Below are 25,459 nucleotides of genomic sequence, written 5' to 3'. Positions count from 1 at the left end.
GCCTTATCCGGGTGAATGGTCAATATGGTTGGGGAGCGAGGAATAGCTACAAGCAAGAGAGTTTATAGATGGGCATCCGGAGGCATACGCAGTCGGCTCCGCTGATATTCGGACGCATTCTCTAGAGGGACCGGGCGCTTCTTGAAAATCACCCACTTGTCATTCGTGTTAATATCAACCAGTACCACCAATACCAACTAGGATGCTAACGGTTTCAAGAAAAACACCGCACACATTTACTAATTTATGGACTATATATATATTATATAATATACACAATGTATAATATGAATGTATAATATGAATATGTATAATATGAATTTCTATGTTCTATGAATTTTCCCCAAATGTCTTTCAGACTGATGGCTCAGATACCCGCCAATGAGCTGGGCTTGTCAGACCTGTGCAGCGCCGCTCCTGCAGCTCTAGAAGCGCAAGGTCGGGGAGCCCACCTCTAGAAAAGGAGGTGGTCTTTGAAGAGTGAGGAACGGAGACTGTCTTTGAGTCCTCGGAGCTGGAACTCGGGAGCAGAGTCCCAGGGTATTCAGGAAAAGGGAAGAGCTGCGTCGGGGACTTAGTCGCGGTCCCCGGGCGGGTGGGGGGCGCGAAGCAAGCAGCAGGGCCCGCTCCCGCCGTTCCGCAGTGCTTTTCTCAGAATCCCGCGGAGGTCACCAGAGCGCTAAGGCTTGAGAGACTCTTCACCACTACGGAGAGGCTGCTCTTTCCTGGGATATCCCGTAGGCCTCAGCTGCAGGGACCAAGCCCTGGATTCCTCTAGCCCCGACATCACCGCAGGGAGTTTCGAGGCAGGGTGGGCTGCGGGACGCGTTGGGACAGTCTCCTAGGAAGCAAATCACAAAGGCAAACACCCTGCAGAACTGATCCCCCCCACCGCCCCCCGGCTTTTCTTGCTTGTTTAAGTCTTTGTGGGTTTTTTCTTTTCCTTTTTTTCTATTAGCAATTACAAGTGGATTGGATCCACACTCTGATTATGTTTACACACATTTGTAATTTGTTGAGAGTCTGGATTGCAATTTTAAAAATCGGGATAACCCTTCAGGGAAATTCAAGACAGAGCTGATAATGCGTTCACCTCATAAACGACAAAAGGAGTGCTTGAGCTGGAGAAGGCGCTCCCGAAACCCTCCGAGCCAGAAGTGATGCTCTCCCCAGGGCACCCATAGGCAAGCCGGGAGCTCCTTCCCAGAGCGCCATAGGTCGCTGCTCCTAGCCTCTCCTTGACCTCCAGGCTCCAGGTCCTGCTCACAAGAGGGGTGGAGCAAGGGGGAAATTGAAGGACCAAAGTTCTCTGGGCTTGGCTCACGTTGTAGGAACCAGAAGGGCAAAGCACCCTGAGAATTTGAACGACCATCTGGCAGAAAGATGTCAGGAGAGGAGACTTGAGGAAGCTTTGGTGGACAGCACATACTCATCTCCCAAGCAGGCGGCAGGCTTGGCCTGGCATTTAGAAGGCCCGGGAGAATAGCCTGCTGTTGCCCCTGTAGTTCCTTAATCACTACTTTGCTTTCCCCATGTGACTTTTGGGGGTGGGAGAGAGAGCTGGAAAAAGAGAATTTCTAACTCAAAATCTCTGAACATGTGTAGGCCTTTCTTTGGCTTTAGCTTTGACTTCCATCCATCAATTATTATTTTTTGAAGTTTGAAGCCCTGCATGATGTAACTAACCAGAAACTTCTCCCTTATGACCCTTCCAGCATCTGAGACCCACTTTCCAACCATTCCTTCTGCCCTGCCTCCTTTACAATAACTCCTGTTTTTGAATTCATCCCTATGTAAGTGGGAGCAAAGCTGGATCTAGCAAGGAAACTTGCCAATAGATCAGACCAAGGTAGGAGAGAGGTTTGGTTCCCAGCCATGTGCCTTTGGGTGGTCTTATTAATAGTCAGGTTTGGTACTGATTACTGCCTAGGGTTTCCCTGGCACTGAAAGTTGGCAGAACTCTGCCTTATCTGGCTAGCAGAATGTCTCCCACCCTAAGCAATTTCCTCTCTGAGGTGGAAACCAGGGGTTGCACTCCCTGACATGTTAATAAACTAACATGATAATTAGGTGACAGGTCACAGGTTCCATGACACATAAAGAAGACAACACCACTCTCAGGCAAATAACATGCTGTGGGAATTAAAATGTTTTCCTTCTCATGGTTGACAATCTAGGACATATTCATTAGCAATGATACAGGGGAAAAGACAAATGCAAAATGGATTCTGCAGGGTTCCCATATTTTAATGTTTTTAGGAGTCTTTATGTCAGGCTTGAAAGGAACTCTCCTTTATCCTTCCAATTCTGATTCTTGTAATAATAAGTGTTATTTCAGGAGCATTTCTCCTATGCTCTATTCTTTATCCAATAGCCCCATTGAATTATTTTGAAATTTTATAATAATCAAAGGAAGTCAGACTAAAAATACATTTCCAAGTAATGAGCTGGTAATTGATCTGCTCTGTTATAGTCTGGGAAGCCCAATATATTCAGGTGGGACCTAGAATAGTTTCATTAAGCCCATCTGCTCCTCAAATCACTGGCTGGACACTGACTTTGCATATATCACTGAGGCAGCTTTAGCTAAAGACATCAGTGACATGCACATTTACAAATGCCGTAAGTATTCCTCATGCCTTATTTTGCTAAATGCTTCTGCTATAATTGATAGTGTTGAGCATCCTTTTTTTTTTTTTTTTTTTTGAATATTTTTCTCCTGGTCCTCTATTTCTCTGACCACTTATTTTGGTTTTCATAGTGTATTCCTTTTTCTCTGCTCACTCCTTAAATATTTATATTCTCTAGAATTCTGGTCTTCATTTTACTGTCTTTCAAAATAAATAGGTTGTTCTTAGAAGATATCATACTTTTTATGGGTTATGTCTTGGTCTGTTTTATGTTGCTATAAAAGAATATCTGATTGGGAGGCTGAGGTGGGCAGATCACAAGGTCAGGAGATCGAGACCATCCTGGCTAACACAGTGAAACCCTGTCTCTACTAAAAATACAAAAAATTAGCCAGGCGTGGTAGCAGACGTCTGTAGTCCCAGCTACTTGGGAGGCTGAGGCAGGAGAATGGCATGAACGCAAGAGGTGGAGCTTGCAGTGAGCCGAGATCTCGCCACTGCACTCCAGCCTGGGCAACAGAGCGAGACTCTGTCTCAAAAAAAAAAAGAATACCTGAGACTGGGTCATTTATAAAGAAAAGACGTTTGTTTAGCTCACGGTTCTGCAGGCTGAGAAGTTCAAGGATAAGTTCAAGTTCAAGTCCTGGCTTCTGGTGAGACCTATTCTGCTGCATCACAATATGGCAGAGAGGGTAAAAGGGGAAGTGGACATGTGTGAAGGGAGGGAAACCTTAGGGGCATCCCAGCTTATAACAACCCGCTCTCATGAGAATCCATTCTCCTGAGAACTGATTCACTCTTGTGAGAACAAGAATGTTTTTACTAATGCTAGAACAGCACTGAGCCATTCATGAGGGATCCACTGCCATAACCCAAACACCCCCCACTAGGCCCCACCCCCAACTCGCCCTCACTAGGGATCAAATTTCAACATGAGCTTTGGTGGTAACAAACAAACCATATCCAAACCACAGCAGTTAACTACCACCTGTTTGTCAATGAGTCCAAAATGTAAACCTTAAGCTTGTCCATCTACTTACTGTCATCTTGTGCAAACTGAGCAAGTTACCACTCCAAGCCTCAGCTTACCCATCTCTCAAATAATGCTAATTATGGCACCTACCATATATATTTGTGAAAATTAAGTAAGAATGCAGGCAATCAATTTATCACAGTGCTTAGCATATAGTAAGCTCTGAAGAAAAAAAAGATAGCTATCTCCTTGCTGGATCTGCACATTTATTGAAGAAACATAAATTTAAACTCTTGCCCCAGTAGTAAACCTAGGAATTATCCCAAATTCCTTCCTCTTTGATACCACCTCCAGGTCTGCCTATATTATCTAGCTAGCATCAATCCTGATGCAAAATAGCCAATAAATCCTTATGGAATTGGAACTGAAAATAAAGTAATACTGAAGGAGGTGAATAGGCAACACTATATGTGAATATGTATGTATTATATTTACAGTGTGTTCATATTATATAAACATAACAACAGTTAGTAGTCCAGGTGTCTTGCCAGATGCTTTCAGAGGAAATATGAGTATGCAGGTGCCATACCTTCTCTGTCTTGAGGAACCCAAATCTTATTCACCAGGCTGATTCAGATGTACCACAAATGGCTATTGAGAGGATTAAGAAAGAGAATAAAGGAAAAATGCCTTATCATAATCAATACTCAACAAATGTTAGTTCCCTTCCTCCACTCTTTACCTTATGCTCAGATTCTTCTGGGCTTCACAGGATAATAGGAAGCTTAATTCTTGCTATCTTCCTATTTTAGAAAAATCCTTTAAGGTTGGGCATATGCATGTAACTTAGATGCTTAAAAATGGGAATGGCTCTAGGCAAGCAGCAGCACACAGAGCTGTAAGATAAACCAATGCCAACCCCTCATTCCTTTGCAGGAAAAATTCATGCCTGGTAGGTTTTTTTGTGTCTCACTCTGAGAATTTGAGAACCTGCATACTCACCAGACTATTGGCCCTGAATAAGACATCTAAACTGAGATCCCAGACTAGGTTGGTGCCTCTGCAAGCTCTTCAACTTTTGGGCCCTGAAGCTCTGTTTCCAGGCCAGGCAGACGTGAGATGGAATCCAACAGTACAAATACAAAATTCTCTGGACCTGGGTAAGTTAGGCTGATTTGAAATGCATAAGGTCCTTCAGCTGACTTTGGGGCTTATTTATAGCATACCTGGTAGGTGTGCCACTTTAGATAACCTTCCTTGGCTTGCTGCTCCCATAAATCTGGAACCAAGTACAGCCCACTTCTCTGCTTGCTTTCCTCCCCTTCTACAAATCTCTAAATTTCTGAGCTTGTCTCTCTCTTTTCTCCCAGATCTCCACTTTTTCTATAATGCTAGCTCACAGGTAAACATCCAAACTGGTTACAACTTCTTTTGTCCCTTTATACCTGTTAGGTTAGGTATATATTTTACCCTAATTTTTCTTGTTTTTATCTTGTTAAAGACACCCGGATCTGCCTTATTTCAAGTTTTTCTCCACAGTAATTTCACAAAATTTCAGAGACTTTTTTTTCTTTCCTGCCTCAAAGTGATGCTTTGAGATAATGTGTATGTGAGGAACTCAGTGTAAAAGGTATGAGTGTATATAGGACCAGTTACATTTGTCATTACAATTACAGTTGTCATTCTTTCCTGACATTCTTTTCTTGCCTTTATCACTACAGAAAAGAAGTAAGGATTTATATGGTGGAAATAAGAAAACTAACTTTTATTAAAAAGTCTAAAATACTGTGTTATATCAGCACTTTGCAGATCACAAACCTATTAATTCCACATTTTGTTAAGTCACCATTCACCTCTTTATACAATACATACCTTTGTCTTTCATGAACCTGGTACCCAGCTCTGCATTTAAAGCACCAAAACTACCTATCTCCGAAATACATACTGGAGAAAAAAAACACTTCCTTTTGCTACTTACCCTTTTATTCTTTCCTCTTTCCTGATTTGTTCTTTTGAGCATCATCTGCTCCTTTAAATGAAAAGTCAGAATTATTTCCTTCAAAATATGAAAAGAGATTTAGTGACCTCTCTAATACTCATTACTATTGTGTGTCTCAGTCTCCATTAAAAATTATTACACAGGATCAAAGATATCAACATTTATATTCTATTTTGGACCAAATGACATAAAGTAGTAGTTCACCATTAATCTTTAACCATTACCAGACACTGTGTTACATCCTACTTTGTCCCTAATGTGGTGTAAAGACTAGAGGCTTTAGAGGCTTTGAAAGTTTATTCTTTGTTTCTAACTCTTTAAAGAAATTTTGAGCAAGTAACTTAGTTCCTCTGAGTCTCACACTTTGAGTCTCAGAAGCTCAAAGTACATCTGAAAGAAAAGTAAGGCCGGGAGCGGTGGCTCAAGCCTGTAATCCCAGCACTTTAGGAGGCTGACAGGGGCGGATCACGAGGTCAGGAGATCAAGACCATCCTGGCTAACATGGCGAAACCCCGTCTCTACTAAAAATACAAAAAATTAGCCGGGCGTGGTGGCGGGCGCCTGTAGTCCCAGCTACTCGGGAGGTTGAGGCAGGAGAATGGCGTGAACCCGGGAGGCAGAGCTTGCCATGAGCCGAGATTGTGCCACTGCACTCCAGCCTGGGTGACAGAGCGAGACTCCATCTCAAAAAAAAAAAAAAGTAAGATAACAAGTAAGACCTAACATAGTGCCTGGCAAGTAATAAATACTCACTAAAATTTAGTTCAGAAATTCTTTTGGCAATGATGTAGTAGCTTATAGCAGAAGAGTAGTGCTCCCTGCAAAAGCAACTTAAGAACCTAAAAATATTTATATCTTCCTCACTTCAAATATCAGACACCTGCCAAGGCGATCAAGACTTGAGCAACTGTATATTCCAGACAAGGATGCTCTGAGGTAAGTCAGACTTGTTTCATTCCATTTTTATCCTTGGGTTATCGGCAGCACTTTGGAATAAAACAAGAGACTGAAAAAAGAGATAGTATTTGTTTAAAAAAGGAGAACAGTAGAGATTTATGCAACTGTATGGCCTTGGAGGAAGAGAAATTGGAGTTTGGTATTGATGAGATTTTATAGAGAAGGGAGGCTGAGACAAATGAGACCAACATTCACATCAGTCTTCCCCACAAGGTATTAGCCAATTAAGCTGCGTAAGCAAAAGGCTAAGAAGCAGAACATAATGTGAATAATGGCAAATCAGAGATTTTTGCAACTTGACAATACTAAGGAGACAAAAACTGAAGTTCATGTCAAAGAGAAGAATCCGTAAGAAACACTCCAGGCTCTCTGTTAGAAGTCCTGGAAAGCTACACCCTATGAATGCAAAAAAATTGCATGTAGACCGAGCCTTAGAAAGACTGAGTTTAGTCCCAGGTTGGATTGAGCTAATCTGCCTCTCTGTTGCCTTTCAAGATAGGTTGAATCCTCTCTGGAGAAATATAGCACTAGAGTCTTTTTTTTTTTTTTTTTTTTTTTTTTTTTTTTTGAGACAAAGTCTTGCTCTGTCGCCCAGGCTGGAGGGCAGTGGTGCGATCTCAGCTCACTGCAACCTCTGCCTCCCAAGTTCAAGCGATTCTACTGTCTCAGCCTCCCAAGTAGCTGGGATTACAGGTGCCTGCCACCACACCCAGCTAATTTTCATATTGTTAGTAGAGACAGGGTTTCACTCTGTTGGCAAGGCTGGTCTTGAACTCCTGACCTAAAGTGATCCACCCACCTCAGCCTCCCAAAGTGCTGGGATTACAGGCATGAGCCACCAAATCTGGCCTAGAATCATTTTAATGTTTACACAAAATGTCCAACATTTGATAAAAATAACAAAAAAAAGGCACCAAAAAATCTAGTGTATTAAAAAATTAGACCAAGACAAGCAATACACAACACACATGGACTAATTAACATAATCAAAGTAATAAATGATAAGATGAGAATTTCACAAGAAAACATGCAACTATAAGAATCAAATGAAATGTTCTAGAACTAAAAAATGCAAAAACTGAACTTAATTCAAGAGATGAGTTTATCAGGATATGTGACACAGCTCAAGAGGGAATTAGTGAGCTGGAAAATAAATAGGTCAGGAGAAAAGACTGAAGCAGAGAGCAAAAATAATGAGAAGTATAGAAAAAACAGAAGAGATATATATGATAAGATATAGACATATGGATAATATCTAGCATCCACGTAGTTGAATTTCAGAAGAAGAATAAAGAGAGGATGGGGGAAATTTAAATAAATTGGGTTTGATTAAAATTTGTCCAAAGTTGATGGAAGACATCAAGTCACTGATTCAAGAAGCTCTTTAAACAACAAGATGAATAAATACAAATAAAAGAAAATGATACCTACATACATCATAATAAGACTGGTGAGATACAAACAAAACACAAACAACAAAAAGGAAAAATTTTTAAATGGCCAGAGAAATAAAGATATTTTGGCCCCAAAGTAGCAAAAGCAAAACTTTAGGCTGACTGCTCAACAGAAACAATGAAAGCCAGAGACAATGGGATGACATTTTTTAAGTACTGGAAACAAATAACTGCCCTCCTGAAGTTCTATGCCTAGTGAAAGTATCTTTGTTAAAACAAAATGAAGATAGTTTCAGACAAAGTAAAACTTGAGATCAATTTGCTACCAGCAAACTCACACTAAACACAGTTTCTAAATGATTTTACCTAGAAACATAGAAATTCAGGAAGAAATAAAGTGCAAAATAAATGGCAAATATGTCAGTAAGTCTGAATGAATATTGACTGTAAAAATAATGATAACAATAATGTCTTATGGTCTAAATACACTAATTAAAAAACAAGAAACATCATGCTGCTACAGATTGCTACAAGAGCTACTCCTTAAATATAAAGAAAAAGAGAAGTTAAAAGCAAAAGAATGAGAACATTTTGTGAAAAGATCAGCAAAACAAAGAATATGAGTACCAGAAAAGATAAGCTTAAAAGGAAGAAACAATTTTAGACATGAAAAAGGACATTTAATAACAACAAATAAAGTGAATGTTATAGGAAAACATTACAATTAAACTTTGTATGCATCTATTAGTGTGGCTTCCAAAAATAAATATTAAAAATTAGATGAACCAAGAGGAGAAATATACAAAACCATAATTATAGAGAATATTTAATATATCTTTCTCCATAACACAAAAAAAAATTATTAAAAAGAGGGGAGGTCTGAAAAATACTTGGCCTAGTTGACACATATGGAACACTGAAGTCAACTATGACGAACTATGTATATTTTTTCCAAATGCATAGATAACATTGACCAAAATGTTAATGACTATATGCACTGTGGTTTGAATGTTTGTCTCTTTCAAAACTCATGTGGAAACTCAGTCCCCAGTGTAACAGTATTAAGAGATGAGAACTTTAAAATGTGATGGGGCCTTTAGAAAGGTTATGAGGGCTCTGTCCTCATCAATGCATTAATAGGTTTGCAGGAATGGGTTAGTTATCATGAGAGGGGGTCTGTTATTAAAGCCAGTTTGGCTGTCTCTAATAAGCTCCCTTGCCATGTGATGCCACCTTGGGGGCTCTAAAGAAAGTCTCTACCAGTAATAGGGCTCTCGCCAGATGTGGCTCCAAGAACTTGGACTTCCCAGTCACCAGAACTATGAAAAATAAATTTATTTTCGTTATAAATTACCCAATCTCAGGTATTCAGTTGTAGCAACAGAAAATGGACTAAGGCAGAAAAATATATGCAGAGCCATTAAATGAGTCTCAAAATTATTCAAGGCATTGAAACTAGTCAATTAAATGCTCAAGCTAGAACTCAAGTGTAAAATAAAGACATAATCAGATGAGATAACCAGAAGATTCCAGTATGCTTGGAAATTAAGCTATTTTATTCCATAAACTATTTATCAAAGAAGAAATTTAAATGGAAGCTAGAAACATTTTGGACTACACAGTGAAAATCCTACATATCCAACATATAGAATGCATCTAAGGATATTTCTGATGGAGATTTTATAGTGTTATAGTCTTAAGCTATATTAGAGAAAAAAGGACTGAAAACTTGTGATTCAAGTATCTATCTCAAAAACATAAAAAACTGAAGATTAAACACTAATAAAGTAGAATAAAAGAAACAATAAAGATGAACTGAAACTAATAAGATAGAAAAAAAAGGAGGTACAATGGAGAAAGTCCACAAAGCTAAAAGCAGATACTTCGAATAGACCAAGAAAATCAGTAAGTTCTTTGCCAGTCTAAGAAAGAACAAAAGAGAAAAAAAATGAATTATCAATATTGGGGTAAAAAAAGGGGAATCAACACAGATCTCTATGTATTAAATACATCTTAAGAGAGTAATTATGTTTTCATTCAAATAAATTTGAAAATTCAGAAGAAATGTACAGATTCTTTAAAAACAGAATTTAATGGCCGGGCACGGTAGCTCACGCCTGTAATCCCAGCACTTTGGGAAGCCGAGGCGGGCGGATCACCTGAGGTCAGGAGTTCGAGACCAGCCTGGCCAACATGGTGAAAACCTGTCTCTACTAAAAATACACACACACACAAAATAGCCAGGTGTGGTGTCAGGCACCTGTAATCCCAGTTACTTGGGAGGCTGAGGCAGGAGACTCGCTTGAACCCGGGAGGTGGAGGTTGAAGTGAGCTGAAATGGCGTCATTGCACTCCAGCCTGGGCGACAGAGTGAGACTCCTCAAAAAAAAAAAAAAAAAAAAAGCCGGGCTTGGTGTATCACACCTGTAATCCCAGCACTTTGGGAGGCCGAGGCAGGTGGATCGTGAGGTCAGAAGATGGAGACCATCCTGGCTAACATGGTGAAAACCGGTCTCTACTAAAAATACAAAAATTAGCTGGGCGTGGTGGCGCGCCTGTAGTCCCAGCTGTTCCGGAGGCTGAGGCAGGAGAATCGCTTGAACCCGGGAGTCAGAGGTTGTAGTGAGCCAAGATCTCGCCACTGCACTCCAGCCTGGCGACAGAGTGAGACTCCGTCTCAAACAAACAAACAAACAAAAGAGAATAGAATTTAACAAGATTAACACAAAAATAATTATGAGTAATCTTGCACATTTTAAAGAAATCGAATTAATCTTTTCCACTCAGAGATCTTCAGACAGACTCAGAATGCATGAAGGATCAATTTTTTCACTAACTTAAAGAAGAAATAATAGCAATATTATAAATACTCTTCTGAAGAATGAATAAAGAGGACACATGTCTGCAGGCGCGGTGGCTCACGCCTGTAATCCCAGCACTATGGGAGGCCGAGGCGGGCGGATCACGAGGTCAGGAGATCGAGACCATCCTGGCTAACACGGTAAAACCCCGTCTCTACTAAAAATACAAAAAATTAGCCGGGTGTAGTGGCGGGCGCCTGTAGTCCCAGCTACTCGGGAGGCTGAGGCAGGAGAATGGCGTGAACCCCGGGGGGCGGAGCTTGCAGTGAGCCGAGGTTGCGCCACTGCACTCCAGCCTGGGCGACAGAGCGAGACTTCGTCTCAAAAAAAAAAAAAAAAAAAAAAAAAAAAAGACACATGTCTCAACTTGTTTTATGAGGCCAGCATACTTCTGAAAACAAAACCAAAATGAGACATTATAAGAAAAGAAAATAACAAAAAAATGAAAATTACAGGTCAATAAGTAAACAAACAAAACTATTATATGAAATACTGACAAATCAAATTGAGTAATACACAAAAATCATAATACTTCACAATCAAGTTGAGTTTATTCCAGGAATGCAAAGCTGGTTTAATATTAAAAAGTCAATCAATGTCATTCACCACTTTAAGAGAATAGAAGAGAAAAATTTTATGTTTATCTAAACTCATGAAGAAATAGTATTTGATAAAATTACACATTCATAATAATTTTTAAAAACCTTAACAAACTGGGGATACAAAACAAGTCCCTCAATCTGATAAATAACACTTATGAAAAGCCTACTGAAAAAATAATACTTGCTGGTAAAATATTCAAAGCTTTCCCCCCGAGATTTAGAATGAGAAAAGGATGCCTACTAATGTCATTTCTATTTACATTCTTTTAAGGCCCTAGGCAGTACAATAAAAAAGAAGAAAAACTCATTAAAAAATTGGAAAGAAAGAAATAAAACTCTTTTTATGTGAAAATGACATAGTGATATATCTAGTCTAAAGCCAAATTAAGATACCATCATACATTCACCAGAATAGTTAAATGAAATAGACAGTGCTTTTAAGAATTTAGAATAGTTAGAACACCACTCTCATATGCTGAAATACTCATATACTGCCGGTAACTTTGTACAAGCAACTGAAACTCCGATACACTGCTTCGGGGAATGTAAATTGGTACAACTTTTGAAAACCAGCAGCACCTACTAAAGTCAAATATATGCCATGACCCAGACATTTTATTCTGGGTCATAGGTAACAATCCAACAGAAATGCTTTCATACATGTACCCAAAGAAATACACACACACTCACACACACACACACACAAACAGTAATGCACTATTTGTACCAGACCCAAACTGCAAATAACCCAAATATCAGTATTATGGGTAAAAAAAATTAATATATTTATATAGTTGAATACTGTCTGCTGCTACATGCACCAACATGGTTAAATCTCACAAATATAATGTTGATTAAAAAATGACAGGCACAGAGTACAGTTTGTACATTTCATTTATTTAAGAAAAAAAATGGTTCTCTCCATATTCTACTTCCCAAGCTGAAAACATCTCATATTATTACATTTCTCACAGAAACTATAGTTCAAGCAAGAAATCAGAGGCTCAGTTTTTGGTATTTATCTACCACAGAGGATTTCTGTAAGAATGAGTAGGAAATGTGAATAAAATGCTTAAAACAGAATGTTAATTGCTCTAAAAAACGTAAAATGTTTTCACAAATTGCCTTCTAATATTTAGCAGGATTTTAACTATGCTTTTTTGTGTCTGATGAAATTATATACTAAGTATATAGCATTGCACACAGGCATCTGAAATATATAAGGCCATGATAATTCTCTCCCAGCTATCCAGTTGTTCACACTGACCTCAATTTTATAACCAAGGAATTGTAGTAGTAGTAATAATGGCTTAATGAGTATTCGCTATATGTTAAACACTGTGCTAAGTGTATATTCTTTATCTTATTTAATCTTCACAATAACCCCATAAGGTAAGTTTTACTATTTTCTTTTACAGATAAGAAAATCAAACAAGTAGTTTTCCCAGGGGATCACCCCGGCATGATTAGAATCTGGTTCCCTCTGATGACCAGGCTTGGACTCTTAACCACCTTGCTAGATGGTATATCATGCCGGAATGCATTAATGATGTAAATTCAGACCAATTCAATGGTCTGAAACTGTATAGTTAAGATTTAGAGTAAATTTATTCCCCCATATCCCTCTGTTTCCCTCCCTTAGCCTCTACTTCACCCTCACTTGACCCCCTTGAGTTACTTTGCACTACACTGGCAATTGAAAACATAAAAATATCACAAGGAAGAGGAAAACAGTGATACCTTTGCTTATCTTATTAAAGGGTTCATATCCCAAAATAGAGTTAACACGGATTGTTTTAGAATCTGTCTAGTTTTTGAATGCTTTTCCTGAAGATGGAGTAAAGAGGGAGGTTATATAGTCAGCATCCAGACTTGCTGTTTTTCTTGGTAAAACAATGGAAAAGAGGGAATTACAAAATGAATACTTAGCCTATAAATCAGAGAATACTTGTACTTAGATTATTTTTTCTCCTTATCTTTACACCCACCCTATTTTTGAAAGGTATTCGTTCTTTGCAATGAAAAACTCATTTGCCATGTCACATCGGGATGCATATTGTTATCAGTATGTTTCTCAGGTGCTAGGAATCAGGCTCCTCTTTTTGGACAGAAGGGAAGATTTGTCATGGCTCTGCCTCTGGATTGTGTTGGTGAAGTATGTTCTTTCTGGAGATAACAGCTTCAACTGAAAAAAATCTGAACTTCCATAAGTTGAAGAAAATTTTCAGCTACTGCACCCTACTGCAGTGAGAATAATAATAAAAACCTTGGACCCATTACTCATGAATGAGAACAAAGGGAGCTTTATTGAAGATCAAATAAAAAGTATAAATACTGAGTCAGACAGCACAAGAAGTGAGGATTAAAACATTCTTATTGCCCATATTGTTGTTAATGGCATTTGAGATTCAAGGTCCAATATAATTCAACACAATAACCCTTGTACGTCTTGATTTTTCTATATTTGCAGATTCTTAACTATTCACCTTTTCACCTAAAACTTTATTTCTCAACAAGATGTGTGTCTTCATTGCACTTTTCATGTCTGTTTATCTCAAAGCCTAACCAGCCAAATGTGTATTTTTAAAACAATCCTTCAGGCCTTTCTGAATTAGACACACATTTATTCACTTACTAAAAAGGTGTCTAGTGCCTACCAATTCTGAGGGGTAAAAAAAAAAAAAAATCAGATCTGCCTACAGTGTGCTCACTATCTAAGAGGGAAGAGAAACAAATTGATATTTGTAAAAACATCTGTGTGGTAGAGTCAATGATTGAACACTCTATTTCTCAAATCTTAAGAGAAGTATTTTTAAAAATTTTTATAACATCTATTTATCCTAGCCCCTCATCCATCAGGGCCAAAGGAAAAGCCTAAATTAAGTAATTAACAGCATCTCAGACCCCTGGGGAGTGTATAATAGTCTCTCAAAGATAACTTCATCTCTTTGGGGATGTCAATGCTCAGTCTTTCAGTTTGCTTTCCCTTCCTCTGAGTTTCTTCTACAATGGCATCGTAGTACAGCAGGTCTTCAGATAATGTCATTTTACTCAATATCGTTTTGCTATGAAATTGATGAAGAAAAAATTTGATTTCTGACCAGGGTCACTGTCTGTGCGAAATTTGCATGTTCTCCCCATGCCTTCATGGGGTTTCTTGGATACTCCAGTTTCCTCCCATATCCCAAAGCTGTGCACATTAGGTGAACAGTTGTGTCTCACTGGTCCCAGTCTAAGTGAGTGTGTGTGTGTGGGTGAATGACCCTGAGATGGAATGGCGTCCTGTTCACGTTAATTCTCGCCTTGCATCCTGAGCTGCTGGGATAGGGTCATGGGAGGCCATCCATGACCCTGAACTGGAATAAATGGTTTGGGAAATGAATGAATGGACACAAATTATTGTCAAATAAAAATCAGTAAAGTGTACAATAATCATACAATGCATGGCAATAAATGATGCAGTACAAAAGCACTTGGCAAGCCCACCACATTTGTTATTATTTTCTAATGGCGTGTGGGTAGGAAGAGCTCATTACAATTCTTGCTTTGCAAACATTATTCTTTGATTTAACCCACCACCACTATGACCACTGTCACTCAATGATTCGCCAAAAATTGGATAAATACGTGTCTTACTTGCGTTTATTAATCTTTCTTTAATGTATATAGAGCTCACTTTTATTTCAATGTTTCATATTAGAAGTATTTGGTGTTCTTTTTTTTTAGAAGCTTGGTGATTTTTGTGTGTATGTGACCAGAAGTATGCCATAGGAACTTAAATCTTGTTTATATCAATTAGCCTATGGTAAAATTGGTTTTGTTATATGCTGTTTTGCTTAAAGTCACAGTTTTCAAGAACCTATGGACAACATTAAGTTAGAACTTACTGTATATCAAGGAGGGGTCTGAAGTCTACTACAAGCTGGGAAGAGAGAGTCTAACTTCCATGAATAAAAGTTCTATGTTGACTTTTAGTTTCTCTGTGACAAAGTGTTTGGTGGGGATCAATCCTTGGGCTCCCTTTTGCAGTTATTATTAATACAGGTGTTTTTCTACTTAGCTCATCAGTTCATTTTAGTCTTCCCCAACTCACTAAGCTCCAGTTCAACTCTCTCCAGGATTGAACATTCCTCTCAATCTGAGCCGGCTGGGTTCAGCTTCCCAGCACTAGTATATTGAGTAGGTCCCCTCACTGTTTACTGCAGCAGTCTCTTACAGGTCCAATGGGTCAACTCAATTACCTTTCTCACTCTCGCCCTGCTCCACACCATGAGGCATGTAAACTTCTGGATCCCTTCCATCTACTAGAGGAGATGAGGGAGTCTTTTAATAGCTAACTCAGGCCTTACAAGCAAGCCAAGTCTCTCCACCATTTTATTTTGATACAGGATTGTACCCCGTGAGGCCATCTCTTTCCAGAGTTCCAAAACTCGGGTCTTTGGGAAGTAGGGAGACAAGCTCTTGGAGTTAGTGAAAGATGGGGAAGATGGGGCCCCCATGGAGAGAACGTCTGAGGGACAAGGTCTGACCTTTACCTCCTCCTACCTCTTTTTCTCCTTTCCTTCTCATAATCTATTAGACCAATATTAGGCCATATTATTCTCCCTTCCCCGTATGGGAAGGAATTATGCCTATGAATTCTCTCTACCCTTGAGAGCTTGATATTGAGGTCAGCCTGTCCTAATTCTTGATATGATAAAGAAAGTTTAAAAACAGAAATTTGTTTACTCTCTCCACAATGCCAGCCTTCTGAGAATATTGTCACAAAAATGACTAAAAAGTCCCATTTTTGGTAGTCAGAAGTTGAATGTCAACTATTTTCTTGCTTTTTTCTTTTTCATTCCTATTTACCACCTTCAGGTAGATTAATATTTCTGAATAACTAGAAAGTTACAAGTATGGAAATATAAAAGATAGGTATACATTTAATATGCATTATATATTATGATATATTTATATCTTATGACATTAAAATATATTACACTTCTATAGTTTTATAACATACTATATGCTCTTATATATTATTAAAAAATATATTATCCCATTCTAAATGTATAAATTACAATGGAAACACCAAGAAGGAACATATAGCTGTATATAAAACTAGAGAAAGGATTAATTAAATTGCTAGAATTGGCTGTTTCTAATTTTTAAAAATATAGCTAGCACAATCTAGATACCAAAATCTTAGAGCACAAAAATCAAAAGACTCATCAATTTCCTAAACAAGATGTTAACTAAACAACCTAAACTATTTATTAAAATGCCAAGCCACAATGACTAAGCAAAAGAAATGGATGGTTTGATAGCAAAATATGTATTACCATTATTCATCAAATAAAAAGTATCAGAAGCGATACTTGGATGGTGTTTAATAAAATTGAGCATATATTCTCAATAAAACTTTAAAAAATAGAATTAGAGAGTGACTTTTTAACATGATAAAAATGCATACCTTAAAATGATTGAACAATATCATTCATCATGATGTAATCCTACAGAAATTCTCATTAAAGTCAAGACTAATGAAAGGAGTCTATAATTGCAATGGTTATATAAGACTATACAGAAAATGCCAACTAACACGATTAGATAGGGAAACTATGTAATAATGTAATAATACTGGAAAGAGAAAGTAAATTTACCAAATACCATAAAATAAAAAATCAACAAAAAAAAGTTCCTTAAAACTAATGAATTCAATAATGTAGTCAGTTACAAATCAAACATTTAAAATTCCAAAGTTTTTCTAGATATCAAATATAGTCAGTCGGAATACATGATGTTAAATGAAATACCCCAATCATAAGGATAATAAAATTTCAAATATCTTAAGTGCAAAATGAAAAACAAATGTGTAAGGCATACAAAAGAAGACTAAGAAAGCACTACTGAAGGACATAAAAGAAGATATGACTTGACATGGATGGGCATTTCCTACCCAGTTGAAAATACTCAATATATTAAAAATGCCAATTATCTCCAAATTAATCAGTAAATGTAACGCAGTCCCAATAAAAGTTACTTGTTTTGGCTAGGCACTGTGGTTCACACCTGTAATCCCAGTACTTTGGTAGGCCTAGGCAGGTGGATTGCTTAAGCTCAGTAGTTCAAGACCAGCCTGGGCAACATAGCGAGACCCTGTGAGAAAATGGTTTTTGAGTTCAGATAGAAGGAAAGTGTCTGATTTTCTGGAGAGTATTTTGGTAAATTGTATTAAAAGCATTAAAAAATTGCTATGGCATAATAATCTGGCTTTTAGGAATAAATGCTTAGAACATAATCAAACAAGAAGACAATGATCTATATAAAGTAATATTCCTTACAGCATTTTTATAATAGAAAATATGGAAAGAACCAAATAGTCTAATAATGGGGTGATTAAATACATTATAAATGCAATTAAATATTGTGTAGCTATTAAAATAATGAAGTCAATGGAGTTGCTGATTTGGAAAGATATTCACAGTACAGGTGTTACGTGAAAAAATTAGGCAAGCATGTTTATAAATTATATATTTGCATAGAAATGAGACTGGAAGAAAGTGCACGTGTTGGAATTTTTCATGATTTAATTGTATAATTTTTTGTTTGGTGGTTATTTATTTCTTCCAAATTTACATTCATTTCTTGTATTATAAGCAATAAGTAAAAGCAAAATAAAGCAAATAGAAAGGAATTACCCAGGGCTGGGATCAGTGGCTCACACCTGTAATCTCAGCACTTCGAGAGGCCTACACGGGCAGGTTGCTTGAACCCAGGTGCTCAAGACCAGGCTGGACAAATAGTGAGATCTCATCTCTACAAAAAATGCAAAAAAAAAAAAAAAAAAAAGCCAGGCATAGTGGTGCATGCCTGTAGTAGCAGCTACCCAGGAGGCTGAAGTGGGAGGATCACCTGAACCCAGGAGGTAGAGGCTGCAGTGAGCTGTGATCACACCACTGCACTTCAGCCTGTGTGGCAGAATGAGACCTTGTCTCAAAAAAAAAAAAAAAAATACTATATCCAAAAAGAAATTAAGTCCTTTCAATTCTCTTTCCTTAATATTGTTTGCCTCAATTCTGTCTCCACTGACTGGGCTGCTGCAGTAATTTGCTAACTGGTTTCATTATGATTAATATCTCTCCACCATGCCAACAAAGTGGATTTCTTAAAAAGAATATTATCATATTTGTCTCTTTTAATATTATCCAGTGGTTCCTTATTGCCAGTAAAAGAGAGCATAAATATCTTAGTATAGTGATGGCATGCACTTCCTTACATTGACTAGATTAGCATTACCTCCTACCTTCCTTTTCATGTATCAGGGACTTAGCTTGTGCCCTTTACTTGTCTGTAATGGTTATCTCACCTGCTTTGCTAAAGATTAGCTTTTGCTCATGCTTCAGGTGTCAGTTTCAAAGCCACCTCTCACAAAAACACTTCCTGAACTTTAAGGAATACTTCTGTCCCTTCTCATCTTCTTTGCCCAATTCTCTATCTCAGCCCCCACTTTTCTTTTTCTTTATATGCACTTATACTTTGTAATTATATTATTTATCTATTCACGTAGTAATTTTTAAAATCTGCCTTCATTACTGTAACATAGTCTTCCTGTGGGCATGGACTGAACATATCTTGTTCACTACTAAAAGGAACTTATTTAATAAATAAAGAGTTGCACCCTTATTCTGATCAAATCTATCTTCAGCTGTATAAATGTGTCAGGCTATTTCAGACTCTACTTTCACATTTTTAGTTTTACCTGCTTGGAGAATCTGTCCTTCTCCTGAAAACCTGTATTTGGTCCTGTTTCAGGAAATTGACTCAAACTTTACTTCCTCTAGAAATCTTTTTTGATCACTCTCATCTTTGGGCCCTGTTGAATCATAGTTTACCCTCATATCATAGAATATATCACATTCTATTGCTTTTATTAGTTCACATGTCTATTTTCCCCTGTTAAAATGTATGTTTCTTCTGGGTATGGAGTGTTTTTATTATCTCTGTTCTCCCAGTGTTTGGCACAATCTGTAGTTGGCTCTCAGGGATCAATCAAAGTTGGTTGGATGAACCAGTAAATATGTTTCTGTAAAATGCTTCATAGAATTTGTAATTAGTATCTTCATTTTATGTCAAATAATTCATATTTAAAATCATTACAAGACTACTTGATTTATAGTAGAAAGAAAAGACAAGAGCTTTCTAGAGGAAATGTCAAAGGACAGTCCATCTCTCTTTTACCAATGGGATGTGTTAAAATAAAGCCCAAAAGATATTCTCCATATATCACCTAATCCTTCATCAAAACCACCAATAATGACAATGAGAGAAAACAGTTGAAAGAAAGGTTAAATTCACTGGCATTGTCAACTTCAGCCAAGCACCTATTGTATTGCAGCTGCCTGGACCTTTGAAAGAATTTTAAATAGGCATGGCCTAGAATTCTCAAGTCTTTGGTTTACACTTCATTAAAAAACAAAACAAAACAAAACAAAAAAAAAACAAAAAAAAAACGGCACTGACTTTATCTCTGCTTACCACCGCTGAACTGAAGGCACTTCTAGCTTTGATGGGACCAAGCCTTGGAAACTGGTCTATCCCAGTGGGACTGAAAATCTGTCTCCTTTGGTTTTGGAATCACCATTGTGCATTCTTTCTCCAGGCTCACAGTGGTGATGTTATTTCCTTAGCCTCAGACTCACAGTTATGCAAGGACAGCCTCCAGTACACAGATGAGCATAAAACAGCTATCACTGCAGGTGCAGGGTTGCTTTTATAATGAATTAGTGCCTCCTTACTGGGAACTAGGAGAGTCCTGCTGCTTGACACTTTTTAGTTATTAGGCAATGTCTGAAGGCACCCAATATTTCTATTCCACACTTACCCTTTTCTGGAGCAGAAAGCAAGTGCTGTAACAGCTGTGTGTGTATTTGTTTTCTTTGGGGGCAGATAGAAGCCAAAGAAACCACAATAAAGTCTAAAGCACAGCACTTCCTTCACTTACATAAGGATTACAGAAGCAGGTGCACAGTGTTTGTTTCTTCTTGGTGTAAAATAAGGCATCAGTTTTCATATTAATAATTCATATTTGTTAATTTATATTTCATTTTAAAAAACTTGCACCAACTTAATCTCTGCTCACCCCCTCTGAACTGTAAGTACTCTTGGCCCTGGTGCAACCAAGCCTCAGGAAACTGGCTTATTCCAGTGAGACTGGAGAAAAGGGAACCCTCACACACTGTTGGTAGGAATGTAAATTAGTACAGCTATTATGGAAAACAGTATGGAGGTTCCTCAAAAAATTAGAAATAGAAGTACCATATGATATAGCAATCCCACTACTGGGCATATATGAAATCAGACTCTTGAAGGATAACTGCATTCCTCTGTTCATTACAGCACTGCTCACAATAGCCAAGATGTGGAATCGATCTAAGTGGCCATCAGCAGATGAATGAAGAAAGAAAATATAGTATATAGCCACAATAATGTAGTCAGTTACAAATCAAACATATATACAACTACAAATCAAAATATATACTATTCAGCCTTAAAAAAGGAAGAAAATACTGTAATTTTCGACAACATGAATTAATCTGGAGGACATTATGTTAAGTGAAATAAGCCAAGCACAGAAAGATAAGTACCAAATGTCCTCATTCACACATGAGTGTAAGTATGTCTAACTGGCCGGGCATGGTGGCTCATGCCTTGTAATCCTAGCACTTTGGGAGGCCAAGGCAGGTGGATCACAAGGTCAAGAGATCGAGATAATCCTGGCCAACATGGTGAAACCCCGTCTCTACTAAAAATACAAAAATTAGCTGGGCGTGGTGGCATGTACCTGTAGTCCCAGCTACTCAAGAGGCTGAGGCAGGATAATCAGTTGAACCTGGTGTGTCTGGAGTTGGTTTCTTCCAGTGGGTTCGTGGTCTTGCTGACTTCAAGAATGGAGCCGTGGACCATCGCAGTGAGTGTTTCAGCTCTTAAAGATGGCATGGACCCAAAGAGTGAGCAGCAGCAAGATTTATTGTGAACAGCGAAAGAACAAAGCTTCCACAGCATGGAAGGGGACCCAAGTGGGTTGCTGCAGCGGGCTGGGGTGGCCAGCTTTTATTCCCTTATTTGTATCCCCCCATTTCCTGTTTCTGTCCTATCAGAATGCCCTTTTCTCAATCCTCCCCGTGATTGGTTACTTTTAGACTCCTGCTCATTGGTCCATTTTACAGAGTGCTGATTGGTCCATTTTACAAACCTCTTGCTAGCTACAGAACACTGGTGCGTTTTTACAGAGCAGTGATTGGTGCATTTTACAACCTCTTGCTAGCTACAGAGCACTGATTGGTGCGTTTTACAATCTTAGCTACAGACTGCAGATTGGTGCATTTTACAATCCTCTTGTAAGAAAAGTTCTCCAAGTCCCCACTCGACCCAGGAAGTCCAGCTGGCTTTACATCTCACCGGGAGGCAGAGGTTGCAGTGAGCCAAGATTGTGCCACTGTACTCCAGCCTGGTGACAAAGAGAGACTCCATCTAAAACAAACAAACAAACAAACAAAAAGTCTAACTCCTAGAAACAGAGAGTAAAATGATGCTTATTGGGGGAGATATTGGTCAAATAACACAAAATTTCAGTTAAACAACAGGGATAACTTTAAGAGATCTACTGTATATCATGGTGACTACAGTTAAGAACAATATGTTTTATACTTAAAAATTTCTAGGAGAGATTTTACAGGTTCTCATAAAAAATGGTATGTAGGCCAGGCACGGTGGCTCACGCCTGTAATCCCAGCACTTTGGGAGGCCAAGGCGGGTGGATCACGAAGTCAGGAGATCGAGACCATCTTGGCTAACACGGTGAAACCTAATCTCTACTAAAAATACAAAAAATTAGCTGGGCGTGGTGGCAGGCGCCCGTAGTCCCAGCTACTTGGGAGGCTGAGACAGGAGAATGGTGTGAACCCTGGAGGTGGAGCTTGCAGTAAGCCAAGATTGTGCCACTGCACTCCAGCCTGGGTTACAGAGGGAGACTCTATCTCAAAAAAAAGAAAAAAAGTAAGGTAATGCATATGTTAAATAGTTCAATTTAGCCATCTCACAAGTTATACATATATTAAAACATCATGCTGTACATCATAAATGTATACAATCTTTACCTGTCAGTTGAAAAAATGACAACACAAAAAATAATTCACAAACAGCCCATCATCATGGCCATATATATGGGGTGAGGGCTATCTCAGCTATGCTGTAGAACTCTTTGAAAAGACATACCTGATGTTTGCCTCTGCCCTATTAACTTGATCATATCAGCATCATTAGCCTTAATCTCATATTTGAGGACCCATAACGTGAAGGGTCACACATATATGGTATAGATGAGGTCTACATTAAACTGAAACCCTCAGTCTAAACATTGTAAATTCCAAGGAGTCAAAAGGGCCAAACAGAAAATATTTTATGTTTTGTTTTTTGTTTTTTTGTTTTGTTTTGAGATGGAGTCTCACTCTGTTACCCAGGCTGGAGTACAATGGAACAATCTTGGCCCACTGCAACCTCCACCTCCCAGGCTCAAGCGATTTTCCTGCCTCAGCCTCCCAAGTGGCTGGGATTACAGGGGCCCACCACTGAGCCTGGCTAATTTTTGTATTTTTAGTAGAGACAGGGTTTCACCATGCTGGCCAAGCTGGTCTCAAACTCCTGACCTCAGGTGATTCACCCGCCTCAACCTCCCAAAGTGCTGGGATTACAGGAGTGCATTTTATGTTTTAGGAATATTTTTCACTTTGCTGTAACCTTGATTGTTCGCTAAGATGAAGAACAGACTATTCCAGAAATATCCTTTTTAAAATTTATTTTATTATTATTTTTTTTTGAGACAGCGTCTTCCTCTATCACCCAGGCTGGAGTGCAGTGGTGCAACCAGGGCTCACTTCAACCTCTGCCCCACCCTGAGTTCAAGTGATTCTCCCATCTCAGTGTCCGGCCCCCTCAGTAGCTGGGACTACAGGCAGGTGCCATCACGCCTGGCTAATTTTTGTATTTTTTGATAGAGATGGGGTTTTGCCATGTTGTTCAGGCCGTCCTCAAATTCCTAGGCTCAAGCAGTTCACCCGCTTCGGCCTCCGAAAGTGCTGAATTACAGGCATGAGCTACGCTGCCTGGCCAAGATCCATATCTTGAAGCACCTAAAGACTAAGGCTGGCCTTTTTCATATTCCACAAACACTCCAAGCTTTTGCCTACCTAAGAGCCATGTAGAATTGCTCGGTCATGGATTATCATTACATTTGAAAGTTTTATAGGTATCACCAAATTGTGAAACACTGAATTTCAGAAGATGTTTCTTACGTAGGATTTTATTTAGATATATGGGTGATACTGTGAACAATACCCTTGACAATGTTTATGAGTTAATGCAATAGTGAATTATGTGTTTGAAAGAGACTAATCCTAATCATTACTATTAAATAGATATAGTTATATAGCAAAAATATTTCTGAAGCCCACGGGGTGGCTATCCAGTTTACTTCTCCTGAAAAGTGAAGGGTAAGGAGCGTGTGTTGTTTTTCTGCTGTGTTTCCATAGGGTAGCGGCATCCTGCCTTTGGCTTCAGTGCTTGAAGCCAAAGAACAATTAACAGAAGGTAGTGTCAGGTGAGGATCAGTGTAGTCATTTGCTAGGGCTGCCATAACAAAGTACCAGGAACTGAGTGGCTTAAACAACAGACATTAATTGTCTCACAGCGATGAATACCAGAAGTCTGAAATCAATATGTCCACGGCAGTCATTCCTTCTGAGTATTGTGAGGGAAGGATCTGTTCCAGGCCTCTCTTCTTGGCTTATAGATGGCTGTATTTTCTCTGTGTCTCTTCACATCGTCTTCCCTCTATGTATTTCTGTCTCCTTTTTGCAAGGCACCAGTCATATTGGGTACCAGTGATTTTTCCTTCATTATCTCCATGAATACTCCATCTTTAGGCCTTTACGAATGTCATATTCTGAGGCACTGGATAAGACTACAACATATCTTTTGAGGAGGGAGGGTGAGATACAATTCAACCCAAAACAATAAGGATGGTCTGAGGTTGGGCAACCAACAGATGAGAAAGCCAAGATCCAAAAGCAAGGGAGACTGGAGATTTAAGAGAACCCATTCATGATGGGGTTCAAAGAGCCCAGAGCGATCAGAAACTTGGAATAATTCCTAAGCTGAAATGCCAATAATTGCAGTAATTTTTTATGTGATGTCCCTAACAATAATGATGTTTGGGTCAGGAGATTTTAAAGAAGGAAAAAAAAAAAAACAACCAAAAACTGAAACAAGAGGCCAGACACCATGGCTCACACCTATAATCCTAGCACTCTGGGAAGCCAAGACGGGCAGATTGCCTGAGTTCAGGGGTTTGAGACCAGCCTGGGCAACATGGTGAAACCTCGTCTCTACTAAAAATACCAAAAAAAAAAAAAAATAGCTGGGCATGGTGGCATTTTCCTGTAGTCCCAGCTACTTGGGAGGCTGAGGCATGAGAATCGCTTGAAACTGGGAGGCAGAGGTTGGTTGCAGTGAGCCAAGATAGTGCCACTGCACTCAAGCCTGGGCAACAGAGACTCTGTCTCAAAAAAAAAAAAAAGGGAAAAAAAAGAAAAAACATTTGAACAAGAGGAGAGCTGCGGTAGCAATGGTGTAAAACGAGGCCAAGTTGTGACACTGTCCATAATCAGGGGACTATAATATTATTTAATATTACCATCTTTGACCCTTCTGAACTCCTTATTTATTCTCATTTTGGTTTTTCTTTCCTTTCGTTTTATATTGAAGTAATTTAGATTGGGTTTAATTCCAAGTAGTTTTTGCAGCAATAAAGTCTATTTTGCTAAAGACTTCCATGTTCCATGTCTATTAAGTTTCTGAAGATGGTGAATTCTATTAAAAGAGAGCTAGAGAAACAATTCTTCAAAACAACTTGAATGCTAAGTTTGCACTCTTTAAGGGGGAAAATAAATTTTTTAAAAAGAGCATAAGAATCTAATAAAAGTGTTGCCATTCTACAAATTC

General features: G+C 38.6%; 1 long non-coding RNA gene across 1 annotated transcript, besides 1 other annotated feature; it reads right to left on the bottom strand.

Annotated features, from left to right (window-relative positions):
• On the bottom strand, positions 757 to 20,127 carry LOC105371610 (uncharacterized). The gene is made up of 4 exons (XR_922277.2): positions 19,937 to 20,127; positions 5,582 to 5,632; positions 4,193 to 4,254; positions 757 to 841 (listed from the first exon to the last, which is right to left on the bottom strand). It is a non-coding gene; the product is annotated as an uncharacterized LOC105371610 (long non-coding RNA).
• Positions 21,098 to 22,297: an enhancer, noted in NCBI's record as "BRD4-independent group 4 enhancer chr1:170607884-170609083 (GRCh37/hg19 assembly coordinates)". NCBI's record gives its function as "activates an origin of replication core promoter dependent on BRD2, P300/CBP, MED14 and CDK7 cofactors, and independent of BRD4, by STARR-seq in HCT116 cells {active_cell/tissue: HCT116}" and the evidence as "EXISTENCE:reporter gene assay evidence [ECO:0000049][PMID:35650434]".

The sequence above is a fragment of the Homo sapiens genome, chromosome 1, assembly GCF_000001405.40.
Source record: "Homo sapiens chromosome 1, GRCh38.p14 Primary Assembly".
NCBI classification, from domain to species: Eukaryota; Metazoa; Chordata; class Mammalia; order Primates; family Hominidae; genus Homo; species Homo sapiens.
This window is presented reverse-complemented; position numbering and strand designations above follow the sequence as displayed.